A 24205-nucleotide genomic window follows, 5' to 3' on the forward strand; every position below is an offset into this window, starting at 1 on the left:
CTTCTAAAATGACAAAAATCTTAGCATCAATCTAAGCATTGACATGCCTTTCAAGAAATATTATTTATATTTCAGTGGATAGAAATTTGAACTGATAGAAGAATGGTTTTGCTCAAGATGATCTGTGGTGCCAATAATGATTTTTTATGAGTATCTCTTTATCACCCAATGCTATCTTGATTGCAGATTCAAAATCTGAGATTAAAAATTTCATCAATACATCAAACTATGCTAAAATAAAAGCTGATTTTAGCTAGTAAAATGAAATAGATTTGTGTAGAATTTGTTATACATCTTCTGTCATCATAGCAGTGTTTAGCTTAATTGCCTAGAAAATTATTTGTATTTAATACTTAAATTTCTATAGGATTTTATGTGCTACATCATGAAGTACAGCACTCCTTCATGTAGTTATGAGAAAACTTGAATTTCACAGTCCTCTTAATAAAATTGCTCAAGAAACCTGGTGTGCTGTTTGCAGTAGGCTCAAGTCTATGTGTATACTAGGGTCCACGATTATAAGAAATCACATCATTAGGAGGAGGGAAATGTCGTATTTGTACTATGTTGTGTCAGATGCCTAAATAACTTGCTGGTCTTGATTCGATCCTCTTAAAAATTGGGACAATATTACAATTGGGCTTATGTCCACTTAAAGAAAACATTTAACTCTAGGATCAATGACCTTTTCAATAGATAGAAAAATAGCTTTATTTTAAAAACAAAACAGCCTAATATGGTAGCAGATGTTACAACAGAAGTGGTGTTCTGGAACTTAGTTGTGGATTATCTCAGTAGGTGAATTAAATGAAATCAATCCAAGCACAGATCAGGGGAGGTAGGTTTAGTTAATGATGACATTCAGAACACAGGCTGAGGAAGACAACTGCTGTAAGTGGTGAGTGAAATCACGAATGTAAAATCACAGACACCTGGAAGAAGTAGGTCAGGCAGGATTCGCTGACTTAGAGGCCTGGTTAATTCAGCACTTTGGACAGTTCCCAAAGACCTGTCTTCCTTGCAGGTACTTGGAGTACCTAACTTTTAGAGTGCCATACTTACTAATTTCATTCCACCTCTTGGCATCTCACCTTTACCTGCAGGTGACCTTAAATCCAAGGGAATTATCTGCATTCATCCAAAGAGCTCTGTGGTCTGTGTTCACAGGAAGTCAACACCTTCAGTCCTAACATGAAGGTTCATAGTTTCTATGTTACTTGAGAGTTTGTCAGACTCATCAGTAGTGCTTATTAATCAATAATGGATTATTAATAATCAATTTATTAACAATAAAATTCGTCAACTAAATTTTAAACCTGATTCAATATGAAAAGGTGAGGATGAAATCATCCGAGTCATGGAAAAGAGTCCCTTTACCAACACCTGATGGTTACTATCATGGCCAAGTCCCCCAGGCAATTCACATGCAAGGCTATTCAGCAGATGTTCTATATCAAATTCAAATGAGCCATTCAGAATTGGGGGGTGGAAGCAGAAGAAAGGCTTTAAGAATCAACTAAAACCCTACCTACAGCCATGTGGCATAGCTATAGATGGTAACTAAAGCACATTAAGCCCTTCCTTGCAGGCTCCAGGAAGTAACAGAATTGCTCTTTTGGAACAAGGACTTTAAGTTAATTTCTTAAAAGGCTTAAGAGGCAGGACTACAAATCAGGACAATCTATCTGATTTCTAACCAAAGGACAAATTATGCTTTAGCCACATCTATCCACAAAGTTTAAAATGAGAATTAGCAATAATAAAAAGGCACACATATAAAAATAAAAGTAGACTTTCCTCATGACTATTTTTCGGATGAGTGTTTCCTGTTCTAAAACCCAATGGTGAGGCTGAAGCATAGAAACACCATAAAATTGGCTTTCTCTATGATGAGCAGCTTAAACTAGACATTTTATAAAGGACTCTCTTGATCTTTGTGAATAGAAAACACAAATTAAGTAGTTTCTAATATCCCTGACAATAAATGCACCAATTTTGGAAGCATTTCAGATGAGCAAGAAGAAACAGGGTTTATGGCTCTACCTCCAGTTACATTAGCAGTCTTGCTGCTCTGGTTTGTGGGTTAGATTCTGGGACCCCCTTTCAGTCTTATGGATCCCACATAGTTAACAGAAGGTCTGTAATCTTAAGGCTGAGAGTAACTCAATTCCTTCTTATTTTCTTTGGTGTATTCACAGAATATCATAGATGAATTTTCTGGTCTGACCTAGAACTCTAAACAATACTGCGAAGGCATGAGACTGCAGTAGGCGAGGAGGAGGAAAGGGAACAATGACCTAAACACTGCAGAAGGGAGAATGTGTAATTTAAATAAATGAGACTTTTTATTAAAGGAACCATTAATTGCTAGGTTTTTCAACATAAAAGTTCTCAGGTCTTTGTCTAGTTGAGTAGCACAGAATTCTGTATATCCTGAAAGTACCAACAGTGCAAAAAGACATTCCTTAGTTTTCCCTGACAAAATGAAAACAAAAAACAAAACTCCCAAAAAACACATTAAGTGGTAGCCCTAGGTCTAGAGCTTATGACAAGTAGTGAAGAAATGCAGCAATTTTTATTGGGTGAATTTTGCTAGTTCCTCAGCTGTAGTTACAGGAAAATCTGAAGATCCTGAGGTTTGAGAACATTCCCTAAGTGTTTACCCAGGTCATTATGTGACTTGAGAAAAGAGATTCTTATTAATCCATGTATACAATGTGTATTTGTAAGCAATGGTATTGATACAATTGTCAAAGTCTTATATGGAAGTCAGCCTCACTCTCCAATAATCAGCTCTATGCACACTAGGCCAATTAAGATGGCACCAAACCCAGCAAACTAAAGTGCCAGTACTGAAAAGGTGTCTGAAGAAGATTCAGAGTAACCCATTCTGGCTCACAAAACTTGGTTATGTTCATACAGTTTCAGGATATTACTTTCAAAAGTGAATTGGAACCTAAAGTTTAAGCTGTATTTTAAAATACTGATATTAAATGTCATGACATCTAGTGTATCATGAGAACAATGGAAATTTACCATTAACATTTGACATAATTTTTCAGCTTATATAAAATCAGTTTAGAGAGTCTTTATTTTTACAAACAAAAAGTCATATTGTTAATCATGTTACTCTTTTAATGATCTGATATGTTAAGCCATTGGTTCATTCTTACATAAGTGATATTTAAATAAGGTTGTAAAGCATAATACATTATATTAAAATGTGTGCAAACTAATGAATGTTACTAAATAAAGTCACAAAGCCCATGGGAAATTATTCTGTAAAATGTATTATTTAACATCTTTGATAAAGTTATTTTCTATGATTTACAGTTTTTTTCATATATAGTTTAAGGCAGCTTTATATTATGAACACAACTTCTTTATTTAAAATGTTTTCAATAAATCTCTACTATCTTTTATTTTTGACAATATGAAGAAGGTACAGCACTAATGCATAAAACTGTTTCCTTTTCCTGGGTATTTTTGCCTATTTCCTGTAAATGTGGCAAGAAGCAATTAAACATCTCAGCCGCAATTTAGGCAAATGTCTCCACCTAGATTGCCTTATAAATGCTAATGGAAGAGATTTTAATACTTTTAACAACTTCAAAATATTGAGTTCTTGAATAACTACAGTTCACTAAACTAAGAACAGTCATGCATTGTGTAACGACATTTTGGTCACTGACAGACCACATATATCATGGTGGTCCCATAAAGTTGTAACGGAGCTGAAAAATTCTTATTGCCCATTGACACTGCAGCCCTTGTAATATCATAGTGCAATGCATCACTCATTTGTGTTTGTGGATGTTAGTATAACAAAACCTACCGTTCTATCAATTGTATAAAAGTACAGCAACCTCACTAGCATCTGTTGTTTTTTGACATTCCAATAATAGCCATTCTGACATGTGAGATGGTATCTCATTGTGGTTTTGATTTGTGTTTCTTTAATGATCAGTGATGTTGAGTTTTTTTCATGTTTGTTGGCCACTTGTATGTCTTTTGAAGTGTCTGTTCATGTCATTTGCCCACTTTTTAATGCAGTTATTTTTTTCTTGTAAAAATTTTTTAAGTTCCTTGTAGACTCAATATTAGATCTTTGTCTGACAGATTGAGACATTTTCTCCCATTCTGTAGGTTGTCTGTTCACTCTGATGATAGCTTCTTTGGCTGTGCAGAAGCTATTTAGTTTAATTAGATCCCATTTGTCAATTCGCTTTTGTTGCAATTGCTTTTGGTGTTTTCATCACGAAACATTTACCCATGCCTATATCCTGAATGGTTAATGAAAGACTGGATAAAGAAAATGTGGTACATATATACCATGGAATACTATGCAGCCATAAAGAGAAATGAGATCATGTCCTTTGCAGGGACATGGATGGAGTCGGAAGCCATTGTCCTCAGAAAACTAATGCAGGAACAGAAAACCCAACACTGCATGTTCTCACTTAGAAGTGGGAGTTGGTTGATGAGAACACATGGACATAGGGGAGAAAAACCCACACTGGGGGCCTTTTGGGCGGGTGCTGAGAAGAGGGAGAGCATCAGAAAGAACAGCTAATGGATGCTAGGCTTAATATGTAGGTGATGGGGATGATCTGTGCAGCAAACCACTATGGCACGTATTTACCTACGTAACTTAAAAGTCGAAGAAGAAAAAAAAGTATAGCACATACGGTTATGTATAGCGTGTAATACTTGATATTGATAATAAATGACTATATTACTGGCTTAGATAATTACTGTATTTTACTTTTTATTGTTATTTTAGGAGTGTATTCCTTCTACTTATTAAAAAACGTTAACTGTTAAACAGCCTCGGGCAGGTCCTTAGGAGGTATTCCAGAAGAAGGCTTTGTTATCATAGGAGATGACAGTTCCATGCCTATTATTGCCCCTGAAGACCTTCCAGTGGGACAAGATGTGAAGGTGGAAGACAGTGATACTGATGATCCTGACCCTGTGTAGGCCTAGGCTAATGTGTGTGGTTGTGTCTTAGTTTTTAACAAAAAAGTTTAAAAAGTTAAAACAATTTTGTTTGAACATTTTAATTAAATGGATTCATTTAAAAATACTATAAAATTTGACATCGAGAGATAAAAAAAGAACCATAAGATTTAAACTGACAAATATAAAAATGATTGGCTACAATGTAAAAATACATTTCCCAGCCCCCAGAGAAAACATAATTTAAGTATAGTAATTATAAAATTAAAACAATTTTAAATAGAAAAAAGCTTATAGAATAAGGATACAAAGAAAGAAAAAATCTTTTTGTACAGCTGTACAATGTGTTTGTGTTTTAAACCCAGTGTGATTACAAAAGAGTCAAAAAGTTAAAAAAAAATGGAAAAGTTTATAAAGTAAAAAGTTACATTAAGCTAAGGTTAATTTATTATTGAAGAAAAAATAGTTTTAAGTACATTTAATATAGCCTAAGTGTACAATGCTTATAAAGTCTACAGTAGTATATAGTAATTTCCTAGGCCTTCACATTCACTCATCACTCAGTCACTCTGGGCTCACCCGCTAATGGACTCACCCAGAGCAACTTACAGTCCTGCAAGCTCCATTCATGGTAAGCACCTTATATAGCTATACTGTTTTAATCTTTTATACCATATTTTTAACTTAACCTTTTCTATGATTAGGTGTGTTTAGATAAACAAATCCTTACCACTGGGTTACAATTACCTACGTATTCAGTATGGTAACATGCCATACAGGTTTGTAGCCTGGAAATAACAGATTACAGTACATAGCCTAGAATGTGTCAGGCTGTAGCATCTAGGTTTGTGTAGGTACATTCTATGATATTCACTCAATGATGAAATAGCCTAACCATGTGTTTCTCAGAAGTATCCCTTTCATTAAGAGACACATGACTATAAATCAAGGAGAAAGTAGAGGGCCCAACTGTTAACGTGGCAAACCCAGCTTATTTGATGATGTTTGGTGAACTTTGCATGTATGATAGGCTAAGCAGCAAAGTATATATCATGAATTTTGTTTTTAATATCACTATTAGTTGCAGGTTAATAAAACTAATCTTTCAACTTAATAATAGCATCTGTACATATACTTTGTAACTGTGAAGTAGGAATGAAAAATTATTTTCTACTTTTTTAGTTATAATTTCATTATATATATACACAGATACATATTTTCATTAGATATAAACTAGATGCATATAAATGTTACCCAAATTGATAAATGCAATCATATCAACATACTGTTACTTATTTGTATTTTTAATGCCATCATTCCACTTTTACAGATGAGACAACTAAGGTTTAGTGACATAAACTGTTACTTAATTTTTATAGCAGATAAATAATGAAGCCTAGTTTGAAACAGAGATTTTGGCTTATGTTTCAGTGCTTCTTCCACTGAGGCATATTTCCTGCATTCAAGGTTTTGGTTTCATTTGCTGTTCACATTTGATTTGGGTACACAAGGAGATTTCTATTGTGGTAGAGCTTTGGAGTTCATTCACAGATCATATTTTTTTCTACCCCATAATTTCGTGTAGGAGGAAACTGAAGGCCAGTGAGGTAGAGTAATTTGAGAAAGCCACACAGGGATAATGACAGGACTAGAATTCTAGCCCTTCCTTCTTTTAGATGACATCTTGAGATAAAGACGTTTTATCTGAGAGATCACAGCTTAACCTCAGGAGACAAGCACAAGAATACTTCAATGTGTGTGTGTGTGTGTGTGTGTGTGTGTGTGTGTATAAAATAGGTATATATATAATAGGTGTATATATATAAAATATAAAATATTTAAAAATATATATTTTTCTCCAGGCATATTAAAAGTACACTTAATTGAGATGTATTTTAACTTTTTTAGGATACATTTCTAAACTCATCTTATTAAAGCTCTCAAACCCAAAACAGCCCATTAGTAACCTGGTGTCCCCGTGCATTTCCATCGAATGAGAAAAATGTGATGCCAACAAGAAAGATTTCTCAGGAACGTTGTGCTTACCTTCATAAGTCCCACTTTCTAGGAGAGCACCACTTTTCTCCAATTCCATAAAATCTTCAACAGTGATGAAAATATAATCCACTCCAGGGACCTCACCCTCCTTATGTGGCCTTGTGGTGCCTGAATAAAGAAAAGTAAAAACAAAAGAAAGACGCTAAGTGATTTGTTGTTGAACTTTAGAAATACCACCATACTTCTGAATATTCAGTGCCACTTGTTTGTACATCCTGCAAGTTGGCAGTTTGCATTTGTCCTTCTGTTTGTTTGGCAACAGAAAACAGCAGGGGGTAAAGATTAAAGTAAATGTACAAAGCACTTTTCTTCATCAAGCTTATAAAGAGTTCATTGCCATGGGATATGGCTGCGTATATTTTTCAGTGAAAAATTCAGAACATTGTGCCCTTTTTGAAGAGGTGGTTTGGATATTGAGCCAGCAGTCTGCTAGTTCAGGAATTTATATATTTCACTCCATGAATGAACCTCTATTGTCCTGCAGACTGCTGTGCTATGACATAAAACACAATGGAAAGTAGCGATCTTAGGAAAATGTCAATTTATCTTTTTAATTTCATAATCTGCTTTCTTTTGGGAGGACTGTTTGTTGGTTTTCATTTGTTAAATTTGCACCCAGAGCCATTTTTATTTGATTTAAAGGATCGCAAAACCTTTACTATTACTTAAAATTAAATAATTAGAATTGTGTAATAATTAAATTGCAGTAGTGTGAGGCTGGGAATATAGTATCTAATCTGACAGGAGAAAACTTTCTCTGACTCCATCACACAGGCTCTCCCTTATGCGGCCTTCCTTCTTTCATTACTGCCTCTAATTCTGACTGAAGTGACTCCCAACCAAGGGTTACTGCATGGGACCACTGTTCCTGACTCCTCCATCACCCACAGAGGGAATGGAGCTATGACGGCCAAGGTGGCAGGAGTATCAGCTACTCAGACTGTAGCTCAGTCCAGCTCTCCTGAAGAACACAGCCTCCCAGGCATGCTGTCCAGTTTGTGAGGCAAGAGCAGAAACAGAGACATCTTCAAGGCTGCAGGTTTGTTTCCAGGTAATACTTCCTCCCTTGAATATGCCCTAAGCTTCTTCCTTTTTCTATGCCACCTACATAGGCATTTTGCATGGTCAGATTGGAATTTACATAATGCATACATGCAAAGAAATATATAGAAGCCAGATATATAAGGTAGTACATTGGCAGGCTTCATATATATAGACTCCCCCATATTGTCTATATGCTAAAAAAGTATTTTAAATCCTTAAATTTTATTTTTGTTCTCTGCATTTGAAATCTTTATCAACTAGGTCATGAAAATAGCCAGTCGGTTCTCCTTTTGGTCTATTAGAATAAAATCTGGACTGCAACTGAGAAGCAGAAGGTAATGTCAGAATGTATAATATGCCAGGGAAATTTGATTTTGGATAAAAATGAATAATTCCTATTGAAAACATTTTTTAAGATTTGAAGTTATTATTTTCTAAAATCAAGTTTTATAACTCATCTTTGGGGGCTGCAAAAACAATTTTTTTCCATAATCATGTTTAATGGCTTTCCCTGAATTGGTTATTTTGTTTAGCTGAGTCACATTTTGCAATATTTCCTGCTGCTTTTATGCTATAAAATATAAACCACCTACATCTAGTATGCATAATATTGTCAAGTTAATGTTTCTATGAGAACCTTAACTTTCAATATTCTGACTTTTATGTGCTTAACCCTTGTGAATTAAAAGTGCATTAACATGGTTTTTGGCAATCAATTTGTTTTTCTGTTTATTTAGAACACACTCCAATCATTAAGAAAAAAATCACATAACAAAGACTCAATTTTCCTTACTAATTTATCTGCATATTTCAGAAGCTGCACACTTTAACTGCTTGCAGTATGGCAATGCATTCCTAGCACCACGTGAGCACCAGGATCACAAGATTGAGGGCAATTTCCAGGGCTGCTGACTTGTTTGGAGTAACATGGCTGTACCAAATTTTAGTGAACATTTGTAGTTGTGCTCTTCTTGGGAGGCCCATCAGTACTTTCGGTTCACTAAGTGGCTTTCCATCTCCATCTTGCACTTCAGACCTCTGTGATTGAGTTCTTCCTTCTGTGACAGGCAACATCAGTGAGTATCACCTATTGCTATTGACCCAACTGATGCTGGCTGCCTACTTGGACTGGCAGTTCACCTACCTCATTGTGGCTTGAAGTTCTGCTCTACAATCTCAAATGCTGCAACCTCCATCTTTGACATCAGTTTCTGATCCTTTTTTCCTATTCTGTTCTTCTTTCTAATTATGATCTCTAGTCCCTGATCTCTTGTAATTTCCCTGATGTTCCCCAAATCTGGCTTTATTTGCCTCCCTAACTACTAAAGGACTATGAAAAAACCAGAATCTCTTCCTTCCTTTAGTTCACCTTCATGATTACCCCACTCATAATTAACCCCCATGTTCACTGTTGGTTATTTCATTACTGACAGCAGTTGCTATAAAAAAACAAAAACTTTCTCTGACAAAGTACTCCACAAATTCAGATTACTTAATGTCAGTTTGATCCTCCTGATGCTTGGTAATTCTTTTATGTGTGTCTTCTTGTCTCTCTCTCTTATATTCCCAACATTTTCTATATTCAACTGCTTTGACGTTTTGCAGAAGACATGAGCTCATTCTTTCTTGGTAAAGAGACAATCTGAAACCAAATTTCCTAAAGTTTCCTAATTTTTCTTATCTGCATTACTCTCGTATTTTTCCTTCAAAATTAAGCCTTTATTGGAATTATCATCCATCTTGCTAAGACAAATTTCTTTTCCTTTGCTTTTAGAATTTTATATTTTAAATCAAATAATTTAAATTAAATAAATATTTTATTTGTCAAAGTTGCATATACAGATATTTTAAGTCTTCAAGCAATTCTATAAGACTTCTGATTTTTAAAAAGCAGACCCTCATCACCACCCAGCCCCTGGAAGCCCTTTCTTTTTATCCAGAGAAAAATACACTGATTTTAGCTGATTACTTTGTTTAACCCCCAAATCTCTAAATACTTTAAGATGCCTCTTGATTCTTTACTTTAGTAATTTTTTCTTGATTTTTTTTAAAAAATGAGAGTTTAACTCTTTTTTTTGTCTATAATTCTAACCCTACTGCACATACCACTTCCTGCTTTTCTTCCATTCTTCTAACGGAACAATCTTGTGTTTAGATTAGTGTGAAGTGTTTACATTATTAATTCTATGTAAATCTATTCCCAGCTGAAATGTGGTGTACTGACTTTTTGTGTTTAACTTTTTTTTTTTTTTTTTTTTGAGACAGAGTCTTGCTCTGTTGCCCAGGCTGAGAATGCAGTGGTGTGATCACGGCTCACTGCAACTTCTGCCTCCAGGGTTCAAGTGATTCTCCTGCCTCAGCCCCTTGAGTAGCTGTGACTATAGGTGTGCGCCACCACACCTGGCTAATTTTTGTAGTTTTAGTAGAGACTGGGTTTCACTGTGTTGGCCAGGCTGGTCTCAATCTCCTGACCTTGTGATTCCCCCACCTCGGCCTCCCAAAGTGCTGTGATTACAGGCATGAGCCACTGCGCCCGGCTGTGTGTAACTTTTTGATTACTCTATATGTAATATGTTTTCATTTCCATTTTCCATTCATTAATCATTAAATAAACTCTCTCCTTGAGAGATAAATCTCCTCTCAAAATTCACAAATACATTTTATATTTTATCAAGTTTATCCTATTGAAGAAATCTTTCCTGGAGGCTTCTGACATGCTCCAGTCTGGACTCTCAGCTGCCATCCAGGGATCATCCTTTGCCATCATCCTGGGGAGTCACTTTGCCTCTGTCTTGTGCAGTTTCTCCTCTTCCCTAGACCCCATGTCTATTTTTGTGGTCTCCATCCTCATGGTGGCTGAGCACATCTGTTGGAAGCTTCCTGTCGAAGGTTGCATGGAAGCCACATTGTTTGAGATTTTCCAAGCCTGAAAATGTCTTTATTACACCCTCACTAGTGGCAAATCTGACAGCATTTCAGGAAAATGTAATCATGAAAATGTATTTCTTCATCTTGCTCCCCTGTTCATGCCACCACCATTCTTCTAGTTGTGCTGGTTTGAAACTTTCACCTCAGAGTCACCTACCTTTGAGTCCTCCCTCACTCCTTTATCCCATCTCCAAATATTTGGCAAGTTCTATGTCCCATATCTCCACAACATCATCCTTCCGATCTGTACTGTCTCTGATCCCAGCACCTCCCTCCTGGACCAGGCGGTGGCTCTGTCACTGGTGTGCCTGCCTCCTTCTTTCAGTTCATCGCTGCTCTTCCTGATGAGCCCTGGTGAAGCACCAGGCTGATCACATTTCCTCTCTAAAGGCTTACCTACCCAATCTATGGTCAAGAGAGTGGGTTGAAAAAGGGAGGGAGAGAAAAATACTGAGAGTCAAGAAGAAACAGAGAACGCCATGGTTCTATTATTTACAATAAAGCACAACTCTCATGGTATGCCAGCTTGTGCAGTTTCTTTACATGGGCTTGCCTTGATGGAAAATGTGAGAAGACATAATGTAAGAATTTTCTGTTTCTGTACTACCCTCCTTTCTGGCTCGTCATGTGTCATTCTACTTTCTCTTTAACCTAAAATTTCCACCATTAGAATTACTCTTTGGTTCAGATGAAGGAGAAACTACCTTTAAAATGTATGATATTTTGAAAGTAAGCTGCTTGTGCTGTTTGGGACTCAGCCACTTGTTATCAGTATTACCTCGAGCAAGGTTCTCCACCTCTGTAAACTCTAGTTTTCTTATCTGTAAAATGGGAACAATAGTAGTAGCATCTTCATAGGGCTAATGTGAGGAACAAATGGGATAATTCATATAACATACTTAAGACAATGTCTGGCACATTTTAAATACTCAACAAGGATTATTGTATGTTAAGTACTATTGCCTCGAAGAGCAGAAATGATTTTTTTAATGAAGTCTTGCCATAAATATTAACTGAGCACTTACTATGTGCCAAACACTATTCTAGATGCTTGAGCTATATCTCTGAATAACACAGACTAAGATTCCTGCCTTCATGGAACTAATATTTTAATAGGGAGAGGCAGATAATAAATAAAAAATAAAAAGTTATATAGTATGCTATAAAGGGTTAAATCTTATTAATTGACCATAAATCAGACTGTTAGAACCTATGCACAAGTTAGTGGGTCAAATACTGAGATTTCTGTTAGCTTAGACAGTATGGAGAAAAGGGTGGAGGAGAAGAGACTGTGAGAAAAAGACCTGAAGGGGAGCAGAGACCCACAATACTTGTAGGCTGTACACTACCCAGGTGAGTGTTAGCTAAGTGGGAGACTGCTGGAAGTCAACAGGGGATCCAGAAAGAGCCTGGTTATATTTTAGAAAGAATCACTACATCCTTAAAGAGAAATTCCACTTATTTCACATATTGCTTGGATTAGCTTAGGTCATTTGGCTTAACATCTTGGCGCCTCATACAGGTATTTCTGAACTATCAAAATCATTTTCAAAGGATAAACATGGCAGTGCATGGTGTGTTCCAATGACTGGTGTATGTGCATATACACAGACACTTACATGTCAACCCTCATTTTTAAAAGAAGAAAATGACGAGGTTGTGGGAAAAGGGAACACTTACACACTGTTATTAGAGTGTAAATTAGTTCAGCCATTGTGGAAAGCAGTATGGCAATTCCTCAAAGAGCTAAAAACAGAACTACCATTCAACCCAGCAATCCCATTACTGGGTATATAACCAGAGTAATATAAATCATTCTACTGTAAAGACACGTGCACACGAATGTTCACTGCAGCAGTATTCACAATAACAAAGACATGGAATCAACCTATATGTTCTTCAGTGACAGACTGGATAAAGAAACATGGTAGATATACACCATGGAATACGATGCAATCGTAAAATGAACGACAGCATGTATTCTATGGGAACATGGATGGAGCTGGAGGCTATTATCCTTAGCAAACTAATGGACGAACAGAAAACCAGATACTGCGTGTTCTCACTTATAAGTGGGAGCTAAATGGTGAGAACTTAGGAACACAAAGTAGGCAACAACAGATACTGGGGTCTACTTGAGGGCGGAAGGCGGGAGGAGGGACGAGGGACAGGAGCAAAAAGATAACTATTGGGTACTGGGCTTAGTACCTGGGTGAGGAAATAATTTGCACAGCAAACCCTCATGACATGAGTTTACCTATGTCACAAATCTTCACATGTATCCCCAGAACCTAAAAGTTTTTTTTTAAAGTGAGAGAATGGCTGGGGGCGGTGGTTCATGCCTGTAATCCCAGCACTTTGGGAGGCCGAGGCGGGTGGATCACGAGGTCAGGAGATCAAGACTATCCTGGCTAACACGGTGAAACCCCGTCTCTACTAAAAATACAAAAAAATTAGCCGGGCGTGGTGGCGGGCGCCTGTAGTCCCAGCTACTCCGGAGGCTGAGGCAGGAGAATGGCGTGAACCCGGAAGGCGGAGCTTGCAGTGAGCAGAGATCGCGCCACTGCACTCCAGCCTGGGCGTCAGAGCGAGACTCCGTCTCAAAAAAAAAAAAAAAAAAAAAGTGAGAGAATGCTGTGGTGTGATAAAATGGTGCGATAAAAAGGTTCTTAGATTAAAAATTGAGGACATCTACATTCCATTTTTGTTTTAATGTTTTACATATATGATTCTAGATAAAAACAGTTCATCATCGATTTTCTTATGCACTGAGGTAAATAATAGACATAAAAGGGCATTATAAAAAGTAAAAGCATAAACACCATGCCAACAATATCTGCATTACTTTTAAGTAATATTAATAGTGCTACTAAGAAAACTACAATTTCACAAATATCATTGGTGGTATCTTACTTTTGGAGTGTATTATAATCAAAGCTTTAAATCACTTAACTTCACTCAGGCTAACACTTATAATAAAGAAAAAAAATTTATGCTTGAAGAAACAAATTGTCTTTTTTACTGTTTGAGTATGAAAAAAACATGAGTCAAGATATAAATCCATTTTGTCTGATTACACAGTAAGATGTAGTACACAGTGGCTTGGTCACTAGTTACAAGGATCCTTTTGTCTTTTGTAGACAGTCATGTAAAACAGCTAATGCCTATGGCCTAGGCTGCTAGAAGGTTTTTGCCATTTGCTGAGTCATTTGAAAAGTGTGAAAGTGCTCACAAAACCTGATTAGTAAGTAGGTCATTTAATTTTACCTGCAGGCATAGCACCTACAAGAGTCAGAAAGCATTTTAGATCTATGTGTCTGGGAAGAAAGGATATTAGTTGATGTTACGTCAATGGGCAAGGCAGTGGCTGAAGAAGGAGAAAGCAATTGGAAATCTGTGAACACCTCTTTGGAAAGTAGTATGATTCTAAAAATAAGGAAAATATATGTGATATGAAATGAAGTGTTGTACAATGGTAATTTGCAGCTAAAGGTAATTAATATCTAGACTGGGGAAACAAGTTAAATTTCTTGAAGTGGTTACTTACTTTTATGCTGAAATAATTACAGTTGCTTTTGCAACTCAAAAGATGATGAATAGTTGACAGCAAAGCAAGACTCAACAGTAATAACAAGTAATTATCTAGCACTAGAAATAGGGTGGAAGATGTGGAGAATAAAAGAGGGAATATAGATGATTCATCATATAGCTGAAGCTCACCTTCTTTTATTGCTCTTCTGTTTTGGTTGGGACTTTCCTAAGTGGTGTATAGGAAAGTCCAAAATAAGTTTTATTATCCAAATTATAATTTATATATTTTATTCTTATTATTTATTCCAGACCACTCCTCCAAAGGAAAAATAAATAGAACTGAAAGAGCAAAAATGCTAAGTTGAGGCTTTGTTTCATCTTTTAGTAATTAATTTCTTAAACAACAGCTTATTTATTAATTGCTAAATTAAGTACTGTATGAACAACACCTCCTTCATGAGTTAATGAAAGCATACAGCGTTTCTGCTCAAAAGACATGTCTAAACAAAATGCATTATCTCCCAAATGGTTAGCTTATTGATACACAGTGAAGTCACATGGAAGCGACTTGTCATTTTGCTACCATGGCAACTGGGAGTGCCAATGGAATTTTTTTATTAACCTACTGTTTAAATGAAGGAACATTGCTCTTTTTTGTCTTAGGAAGAAAAGGGCATTTGTGGTAAATATAATTCTAAAGCGTATTTCCCCTCAGCTTTCTGCTATTTCCTAGTTTGAGTAAAATACTTTTCTTCAAAAGAGTCACCAGCTTGACAGTATTATTACTTAGATGATGGCTCAGTGCAGTCATCTATTGTGATCTATTCTGATATATTAAAAATTCCATAGTGCTTGCCGCATGGCAGGTACCCAATACATATTTGCTAAAGAAACAGACTTGGAATTAATCATTAAGTCAATGTATTCTAAGCAGATGGGTCATTGTGTGAGAATGTGAGAAAATGAATTCTGTTCTTATTCATATATTCCCCCTTTCTTCTTCCTGGTGTTTCTCAACTGCAAGCTGGAAAAAATAGATCTTGACAGCTAGGGTGACTTCCTCTGTATTTGACCTTTGATTAACTATCTCTTAGATTCTTGAAGACACTTAAGTTGGTCACAGTTACTCATCAGCAAGTAAGAACACAATCATCAGATTTGTGTATGCTGCCAATAAAAACATACATCCGATAGATTCCTTTGGCCAATGCCTGTAATCAATTTTTACACAACCAGCCTAGGCCTTGGGTTTTATTATACTCATTTTCAATCACATAAAATCCCAAAGTATGGTTTTATACAAACATAGAGCTAAAGTAAGCAAAGCAAATAATATCGTTTGGGTCACTGAATTGTATGTGATTGACAGATTATAAAGTAATGTAGGCCTTATAGATTTCCTGTTAACTGATGGGGTGGATTGGTTTGAGGTAAAAAAATTAAAACCTACAATTCAATGAAATAAATCACTTATTAAGTATAAAAATTATTAATAGCCTCAATAAAACACTATGCACATTTTATAAAATATTGAAGATTTGACAAATCCATTTGTAAAATATTGGTAGTTAATTTGACTTATTTTCTTAACAGTGTGTTGCTTTAAACCTCAGTAATTATTTCAAAACTCTCTTCCCCTAAGATAACATGTTGTCAATTTTTGTTTAAAGCAGCACTGGCATATACTAACAATGTTAGGTATCTTCCAAAAACAGGCTTTTTTTTTTTTTTTTTTGAAGAAGAAACCTCACTGAATATCTTGGATATAAAGGTTCAAAATAGTGCCCCATATGGCATCAATTACTGTTTTAAATTTTAACAGTTTGGATTGAGGAAGCATCGGACCCAAACTTGGTGTTTCTTAAAACATAGGCTGCATCAAGGCCGGGCGCTGTGGCTCACGCCTGTAATCCCAGCACTTTGGGAGGCCGAGGTGGGCGGATCGAGAGGTCAGGAGATAGAGACCATCCTGGCTAACACGGTGAAACCCCGTCTCCACTAAAAATACAAAAAATTAGCTGGGCGTGGTGGCGGGCGCCTGTAGTCCCAGCTACTCGGGACGCTGAGGCAGGAGAATGGCGTGAACCCGGGAGGCGGGGTTTACAGTGAGTCGAGATCGTGCCACTGCATTCCAACCTGGGTGACAGAGCAAGACTCCATCTCAAAAAACAAAAAAACCAAAACCAAACAAACAAAAACAACACACAAAAAACATAGGCTGCATCAGAACCATGTGGAGGACTTGTTAAAGCACAGATAGCTGGTTCTCACTCCCCAGAGTCTCTGAGTCACCCTGCTGCGGTGGGGCCTGATTATTTGCATTTCTAACAAGTTTTCAGGCGATGCCTCTGACACTGCGGGTCCAGAAACCATAATTGGAGAACCACTGCTCCAATTTCACTCATAGCTCAGGGAACCCAAAATAAAAACAGTGTTAAATTTCCTCATCAAATATAACTACAACAATCCATAAAGCATGCAGGTCATGACTTTGGCATTGGCCCTGGAGTACTCTATAGCCATGTACCGGATTCACAGAAAATAAGCCATCCTTCATTTTCTGGTGCATAGATGAACAGAGTCATGAGGAGTATTTTTCATAGTGAAGTGTTCTTTAGAAGTTAAATGAATTTGGGAAATAATGCACCTATCTTTATTTATGTGTCCTTATAAATATCTTTATTATTTGAAGTAATATAAATTATTTTGGCTCTATCTATGCAACAGTATGGCTGATATTGGGAAAGACTTAGGAGCTTGACTATAGCTCACCAGCAGTGATACATGATAATATGTTAAAAAAAAAAATAAGCATCTAATGCAGAAGATCTCTCATGAAGAAAAACTATGGTGGATGTCAAAAAATAGATGACAAATGAAAAATCTGTAGATCTCCAAAAAGTAAGAAATAATAGCATTGCATTATTTTCATATACCAAGCTATCTGATTTGCTAAATGTTAAAATTACAGCTTGTTTACAACTATACTTATCAAATGAAATCAGGTGATAGGTAACATACACTTTGGAATTAGTACTCATAAAGCTCTCTGTTATAACAAATTATTTAGGCCACCATATTGTTTTATTAATTCCATAGTTTTATTTGCACAATTAAGTCCCTGGTGTAAACACTAGAGTAAATGAGGGGTAGATGTGAGAAATATCATTTAAAACTTGAACTCAGCCAGGTGTGGTGCCTCACATCTGTAACCCCAGCACTTTGGAAGGCTAAGGAGTTTGAGAGCAGCCTGGGCTACATACAGAGATCTCATTTCTACAAAAAATTTAAAAATTAGCTTGGTATAGTGGCACACATCTTTAGTCCCAAGTGGAGGATTGATTACTTGAGCCCAAGAGGTCAAGGCTGCAGTGACTCAAGATCATGCCACTGCACTCAGCCTGGGAGACAGAACAAGACCCTGTTTCAAGAAAAAAATAAAAAGAAAAGAAAAGAAAAAAAAAAGAAAGCTGAACTCATCACCTGAACTAAAAAACCTGTCATACTGAGCAAGAAAGAAAGACAATGTCTGGGGTGATCACTTTTGAAGTTGATGTATATGCAATATATTTTCAATTTTAAGGCTTCTACAGTAAATGACCAGATTTAATTACCAACAGTACCAAGATTCCTTGACCACTGATATACAAGCACTCTACACTGAAGACAAACTAGGGCAAAGTGAATGATTTCATTTATTCATACATTTGAATCATCACTACATTGGAAACAAAAGATTTGTACCCTAAATCTTATCCATTCCTTCACACCAAAGTCCATCTCCTCTACCCAGCAGATTTCCAAAGAAACTTTGGTTGCATAAATTACTTTCTTCATGATATTTCCATCTTTACCTCACTTGCATTCACAGTACAGAATTATTCACTACTTGGATGCAGAGACATAAATAAAATGACTCACCCCAATAAAATCAGATTCCTTGGTAGCTATAGTCTTGGCTTTTGATCCATTCTTACAATATACAGGTATAACATACCTAACTAACTCCAGGACAGATCAACACTGCATTCTCACCAATAAAGTAGGGCAACCAACCATAATTCCAAGATTCTTGACTTGACTATTAATTTCCTGAATTTTTTAAGAGACTGGAAGAAGACAAATGACCCTTTTGTTACCAATTAATTTATTTTTGAACTTCTGATTTTAATTCAATATTTAATTTAGATATGTTCTATATTTGGCATTCTATAGAATTAATAAAAGGAGGCTTTTGATTCCCTAATTTATTATTTAGCAGATAATGTTTCAAGATTACATATTGAGCTTAAGGAAAAGAAAGATCAGTGACTTTCTATAGAAACAATATATATTTAGTTTGAAGCTTTTATAGTCTCCTCATGTAAAATTAATCTGGGCCAGAACTAGACTGTGTGGATACCACCAGTCCTCTAAGCAATGCAGACACACTACTCAGTGACCTTCATCGCATGGAAGGTTTAGTGGATCATAACTTTATCATTTTATCACTGTTAGAATCTTGCAATGACATTAACTTTTAGTATCACCATTATGTCCCTATGGCATCTATATTCTGAAATGCCCAAGGTAGATAGTAGAATACAGAGTCTACAGAGTATCAGAAAATCCAGATGAAAGAAAGAGGGCAGTTAACTATCCAGGGATTTCAATTATATTGAAAATGCTTTTCAGATTATATGGCATAAATCACATGTCTGAGTGATCAACTATTTTTTTTATTGAGGCTCTCAAGTACACACATACCAAATTATCATGGAGGGAAGAAACAAAGAAGAGAGGGAGGAGTGAAATATTAATGAGTACCCACTAGGAGCTTTGGATGAGGTGCTTTTATTCTTGCTTTAAATCTTGAGTTGAAGAATACCCTGTGCATCTGATTTATCTTATGTTCACGATACTAGCTATTATATTAGTTGATATTTTATCACACTAAATCTTATTATAAAGTTGATGAAAAGCAGAACAAAAATTCACAACTCAGCTTCCTTACTTTAAAAAAATTACAGAATTGGGGATATTATAACAGAAATATACTCGGCTATAGCTGACAGCCCCTTAATTCCAAAACCCACGTCTGTGAGCATTCATATGTAGAAAACATCTGTACATATTACAGGGAACAGGAAATTCTCCCCATTCAGGCCAGTGTGACTGTGGGCCAGACACTAAATGTTGAGTGGCATGGCCTGGCTCCCCCTCAAGAAACTTAGGAAAAAAGAGAAAAGTGACTTGTTCAAATCAAATAATCAGCATTCTGATAAAAAAGAAAACATAAGTATCCAGATTTTCAGCCTGTAGATAACTGCATGCCTCTGAAGGGATAAAAAAGCGGGGGTGCAGGAGGCAGACAGAATATGATTTCTGCCTTTTTTGAGATTTTAGTATTCGACACACAACCAGCAGCCCCATGGCCTAGATCCATATGGTCTTTTAGGCATGAAGGGCAGCAGGACTCAGTTTCTATTCAATTGTCATAATCCCCAGAACACTGTGGTTTTAATCTCAGACTACTGTATTTCCTTCCTGATTGGAGAGCAAATTAAAAGTGATACAATATAAAGGAATGTGTATTGTGAACTGTCAAATAATCATTTGAGACTCCTGCTGGAAATTTTTCCATAAAACTATCAGAATAAAACTATCCTGTAATAAAAAAACAAAAAACAAAAAACAAAAAACAAAAAGCACTTGGCTCTACAGACTCTCAAATCACTGTTGCTGAGAAATGCAATTATCATCAGAGAGTAAGGGAAGTTTTAGGAATTAAAAATATAAAAGAAAATTTTAAGGAAATTTTAAAAGAGAGCTAATTAAGGCACTTCTGGCATAAGAGATATTGAGTTAATAGTGAGTTATCAAAATAAATACTGGATTCTTCAGAGAAAATGTTTATAATTTTAGATAAATCTTTACCTCCTTTAGAGAGATCAAGACAACACACTTATTTGCCAGGACTAATAGAGACATAATACAAAACAGAGGGGTGAATACCAACCAGTAGCATCAGCCCAGCAGCTGACTCAGCATCCTACCCCTCACGGGGAGCAACTGGCTGGAGAGTTCATACCTGGTAGGGTGATGGTGCTCTGACTTTCAGACCCAAAGTATTAAGTATCACTGCCTAAAAGAAGGGGCAGAGCATCCTGTATTTGAAAAAACTAGAAAGGCTGAGGCTGGCCAAACTAGGCTATGGGGCATTAGTGAATCCATGTTAGAATAAAAAATGTGCATGATATAGTTTGGCTGTGTCCCCACCCAAATCTCATCTTGAATTGTCATTCCCATAATCCCTGCATGTCATGGGAGGGAACAGGTGGAGATAATTCAATCACAAGGGCAGTTTCCCCCATCCTGTTATTGTGATGATGAGTTCTCATGAGATCTGATGGTTTTATAAGATGCTTCCCTGTTTGCTGGTCACTCATTATTCTCCTTGCTGCCACCATGTGAAGAAGGACATGTTTGCTTCCCCTTCCGACATGATTGTAAGTTTCCTGAGGCCTCCCTAGCCCTGCAGAACTGTGAGTCAATTAAACCTCTTTTCTTTATAAATTATACAGTCTTGGGTATGTTCTCATAGCAGTGTAAGAATGGACTAATATAGTACATATGTTTAACCTCCTGGAAAAAGGCTGAATAGCTATTTATCTCCCCATTTAGATCCAAACTATTCCTTTGGATTAGAGTTCAGCAAATTTCTAAAAGAACTAGATAGTAAATATTCTAGGCTTTGCTGGCCATACTGTCTCTGTAATAACTACTGTTATTAGAGATAAAACTGGACACATAATACATAAACAAATGAGCACAGCTGTGTTCTAACGAAGCTATATTTACAAGGTGGTGGACAGATTTAACCCGTAAGAAGTCGTTTGCCCACCCCTACATTAGGTTTTCGATGCTTTGTGTCTTCATGATCTTGTCTCCTAGATTTGTACTTGTAAATCAACAAGATGCAACTTCAGTGCCAGCATTTGAGTGCACTACCTCAAGAGAGAAAAATATGACCATTTCTGTTGGTGTGGCCAGCATTAAGTGTAACATTTCATGTGTCAATTTTTTTTTAAACTTCTTCAAAACAACCAACCAGGTAGCTTTCTAATACACAGAAAAAAAATGGGGGAAAATATCTGTAGAAGGATCATAGATATTTGGTCTCTCAAGAAGCAAGAGAGGATTGTTCTTATGCAATCTTTGAAATAATATGAACAAGAAATTGCCAGGGGAAATACGTGTTTTGTGAGGCTGATCAAGAGTGGAAACACATCTGTTCCTATAAGTGAAGGAGCTTCTCCTTCAGTATTGACTGAGGGCATTGCATCTTTTAGTGGTAAATAACAGTATCTTGTTGACCTTGCTTCCATTTTAGGGTATAATTATATAAGCAAATCTTCTGTGTGCTAAGGAATTTACCAGACATTTCATACAGGGAAGAAACATGGAGTCTGTAAGTGCTCCTGAATATTACATATAAATTTTACGCTGTTGTATCTGTAATATCCCATGTGTATGTTACATGGTCACCATAGAAATCAAGTTACTTATCATTTATTGGATAAAGCAGTATTCACAGTAATATTTTATGTTTGATAGAAAATTTGTCATTACCTGACATAAAGATTAGCAGTTACATGATAAAGTTGTATATGAACAATATGCATATACACATAGCTTTTAAGTTTAGGACCATGGTTCAGTAAAACGAGCACAGCATATGAAAATAAGGCAAAGAAAAAGAACTATCTTAGGTTAAGCATTCCAAGATATTTGATTCTGTGTTGCATTGCAGCAAAATTTTGAAAATTGATTCAACAGGAGAGAGCCCTCTAGCAAGACTATGTGCTAATTTTTAATATATTCAGTAATCATTTAGGAGCCCTCAATTTTTTCTTTTACAAATTTATCATTTGTCCAAATATATATGAAATGTTTCAGAATGAATATCAATCTAGTGGAAAAGAGAGAAAGACATGGCTGACGAATATGTCAAAGTAAGGAATTATATGAGAAATTTTTTTATGTATATAATATTCACAAGCACTAATACTTATTGAGCTCTGACCTTATGGGAAGCATTGTACTCTGCTTTTTGCATGCATTATCTCTTTCATTTTTCTGAACAACTGGATATGGTAGGTGGCATTTTACTCTTTTTATACCTTGAGTAACTTGCCCAAGTGGCAGCACTAGGATTCAAACCTGGGCAGTCTGGCAGTACAGGCCAGGCTTCTAAGCAATGGTGCACTCCACCAACATCCACAAAATGTTCTAAAAATTTTTGTTGTGGGAGATAGATGAGAGCAGCAGGTGGGAGTGTGGGTGTGCCTTGTGAATGGGATGTGGGCAGCCACCACTTGGCATTCAGATAGAATCTCTGCCAGGAAAGAATAATGAAACTGGGAATCAAATATCCTATGGCTATCCCAGTTACTCTGATTTGATCATTACACATTGTATACATGTACCAAAATAACACAAGTACCTCTTAAATACATACAACTATTACATATCAATTTGAAAAATATATGGAGAAGCAGAGGGAAGTAAGATAGTCTCTAAAGTGTTGTCAAGTTAGAGTAAGGATATTCAGAAAGGTAACTAAGAAATGCCAAGAAAGTAGCTGGGGTGCACCAAGGACTGATATCTTTGGAATGAAATGTCCAAACTTGTTGAATTAGGAAGCTACAAATATTTAAAAAGAAATACAAGTGCTCTGAGCAGATGAAAAAGTAGTAATTTTCTAAAAATAGAGAAATGATAAAATATTAATAATTAGGTAAGGCTCTAGTTTGCCAGGTCATGTGCCCCCTTTACAAGTCACATAATAGAAATGACTTGTAGAAATTTCAACAAATATATATTTGAGGCCTATAATGGCTGACAGACAAAAGTGAAATAAAATCTATTTCATCATCCTGGAGGACTCAAGTTATTAAGATACACACAATTGCAGCCACCTGTATAACAATTATTTTGAGACAGTTCTCAAAATGATAAATATAAAATATATAGCTTAATCCCTTTAAAAGATAAGAGATGGTTTAAAGTAAAAGTAATAACAATATAGTGAATTAAAATATATGACCACAATGGCACAAGGGGTGGGGGATGGGAATGGTGGCATACTATTGTAAGATTCTTACCCTATATATGAAGTGATGTATCATTTGACGGCTGACTGGGATAAGTTAAAGATGTGTAATAGAAAGCCTACAGCAACATCTACACACACACCCCCACACACACTATTGAAAAATGGATCATCCATTTAAAAGAGCAAAACTCACCTATATGCTGCCTACAAAAAACTTACTTTAAATATAATAATGCAAAAAAAGTTAGAAGTAAAATAATTGAAAAAGCTATGCTATGCAATGAGCAAATGAAATTTATAATAATATCAGAAAAAGTAGATTTTAGAGCAAAGAACATTAACAGTGATAAAGAAATTCATTTCAAAATAATAAAGGAGTCAATTCCTTAACAGGAAAAAAAATACTAAATGTTTATGTATTTAATTAGAGATTCAAAATACATGAAGCAAATACATGGAGCTACAAAGAAAAATTGATAATTCCACAATTATACTGAGAGATTTCAACACTTCTCTTTTAATAATTGATAAAACAAGTAGACAGAAAATTAGTAAAGTTATAGACCTGAACCACACTATCTACCAAAT

General features: G+C 36.0%; 1 protein-coding gene across 14 annotated transcripts in view; it reads right to left on the minus strand.

Annotated features, from left to right (window-relative positions):
* Positions 1–24205, minus strand: part of MAGI2 (membrane associated guanylate kinase, WW and PDZ domain containing 2) — a 1436613-nt gene that overhangs the window by 603060 nt on the left and 809348 nt on the right. For all 14 annotated transcript variants that reach the window (XM_047421093.1, XM_017012845.3, NM_001301128.2 and 11 more), the window contains one exon: positions 7006–7125. In XM_047421093.1, the coding sequence (XP_047277049.1) occupies positions 7006–7125 (120 nt within the window). The remainder of the gene's footprint in view (positions 1–7005; positions 7126–24205) is intronic.

The sequence above is a fragment of the Homo sapiens genome, chromosome 7, assembly GCF_000001405.40.
Source record: "Homo sapiens chromosome 7, GRCh38.p14 Primary Assembly".
Classification (NCBI taxonomy): Eukaryota; Metazoa; Chordata; class Mammalia; order Primates; family Hominidae; genus Homo; species Homo sapiens.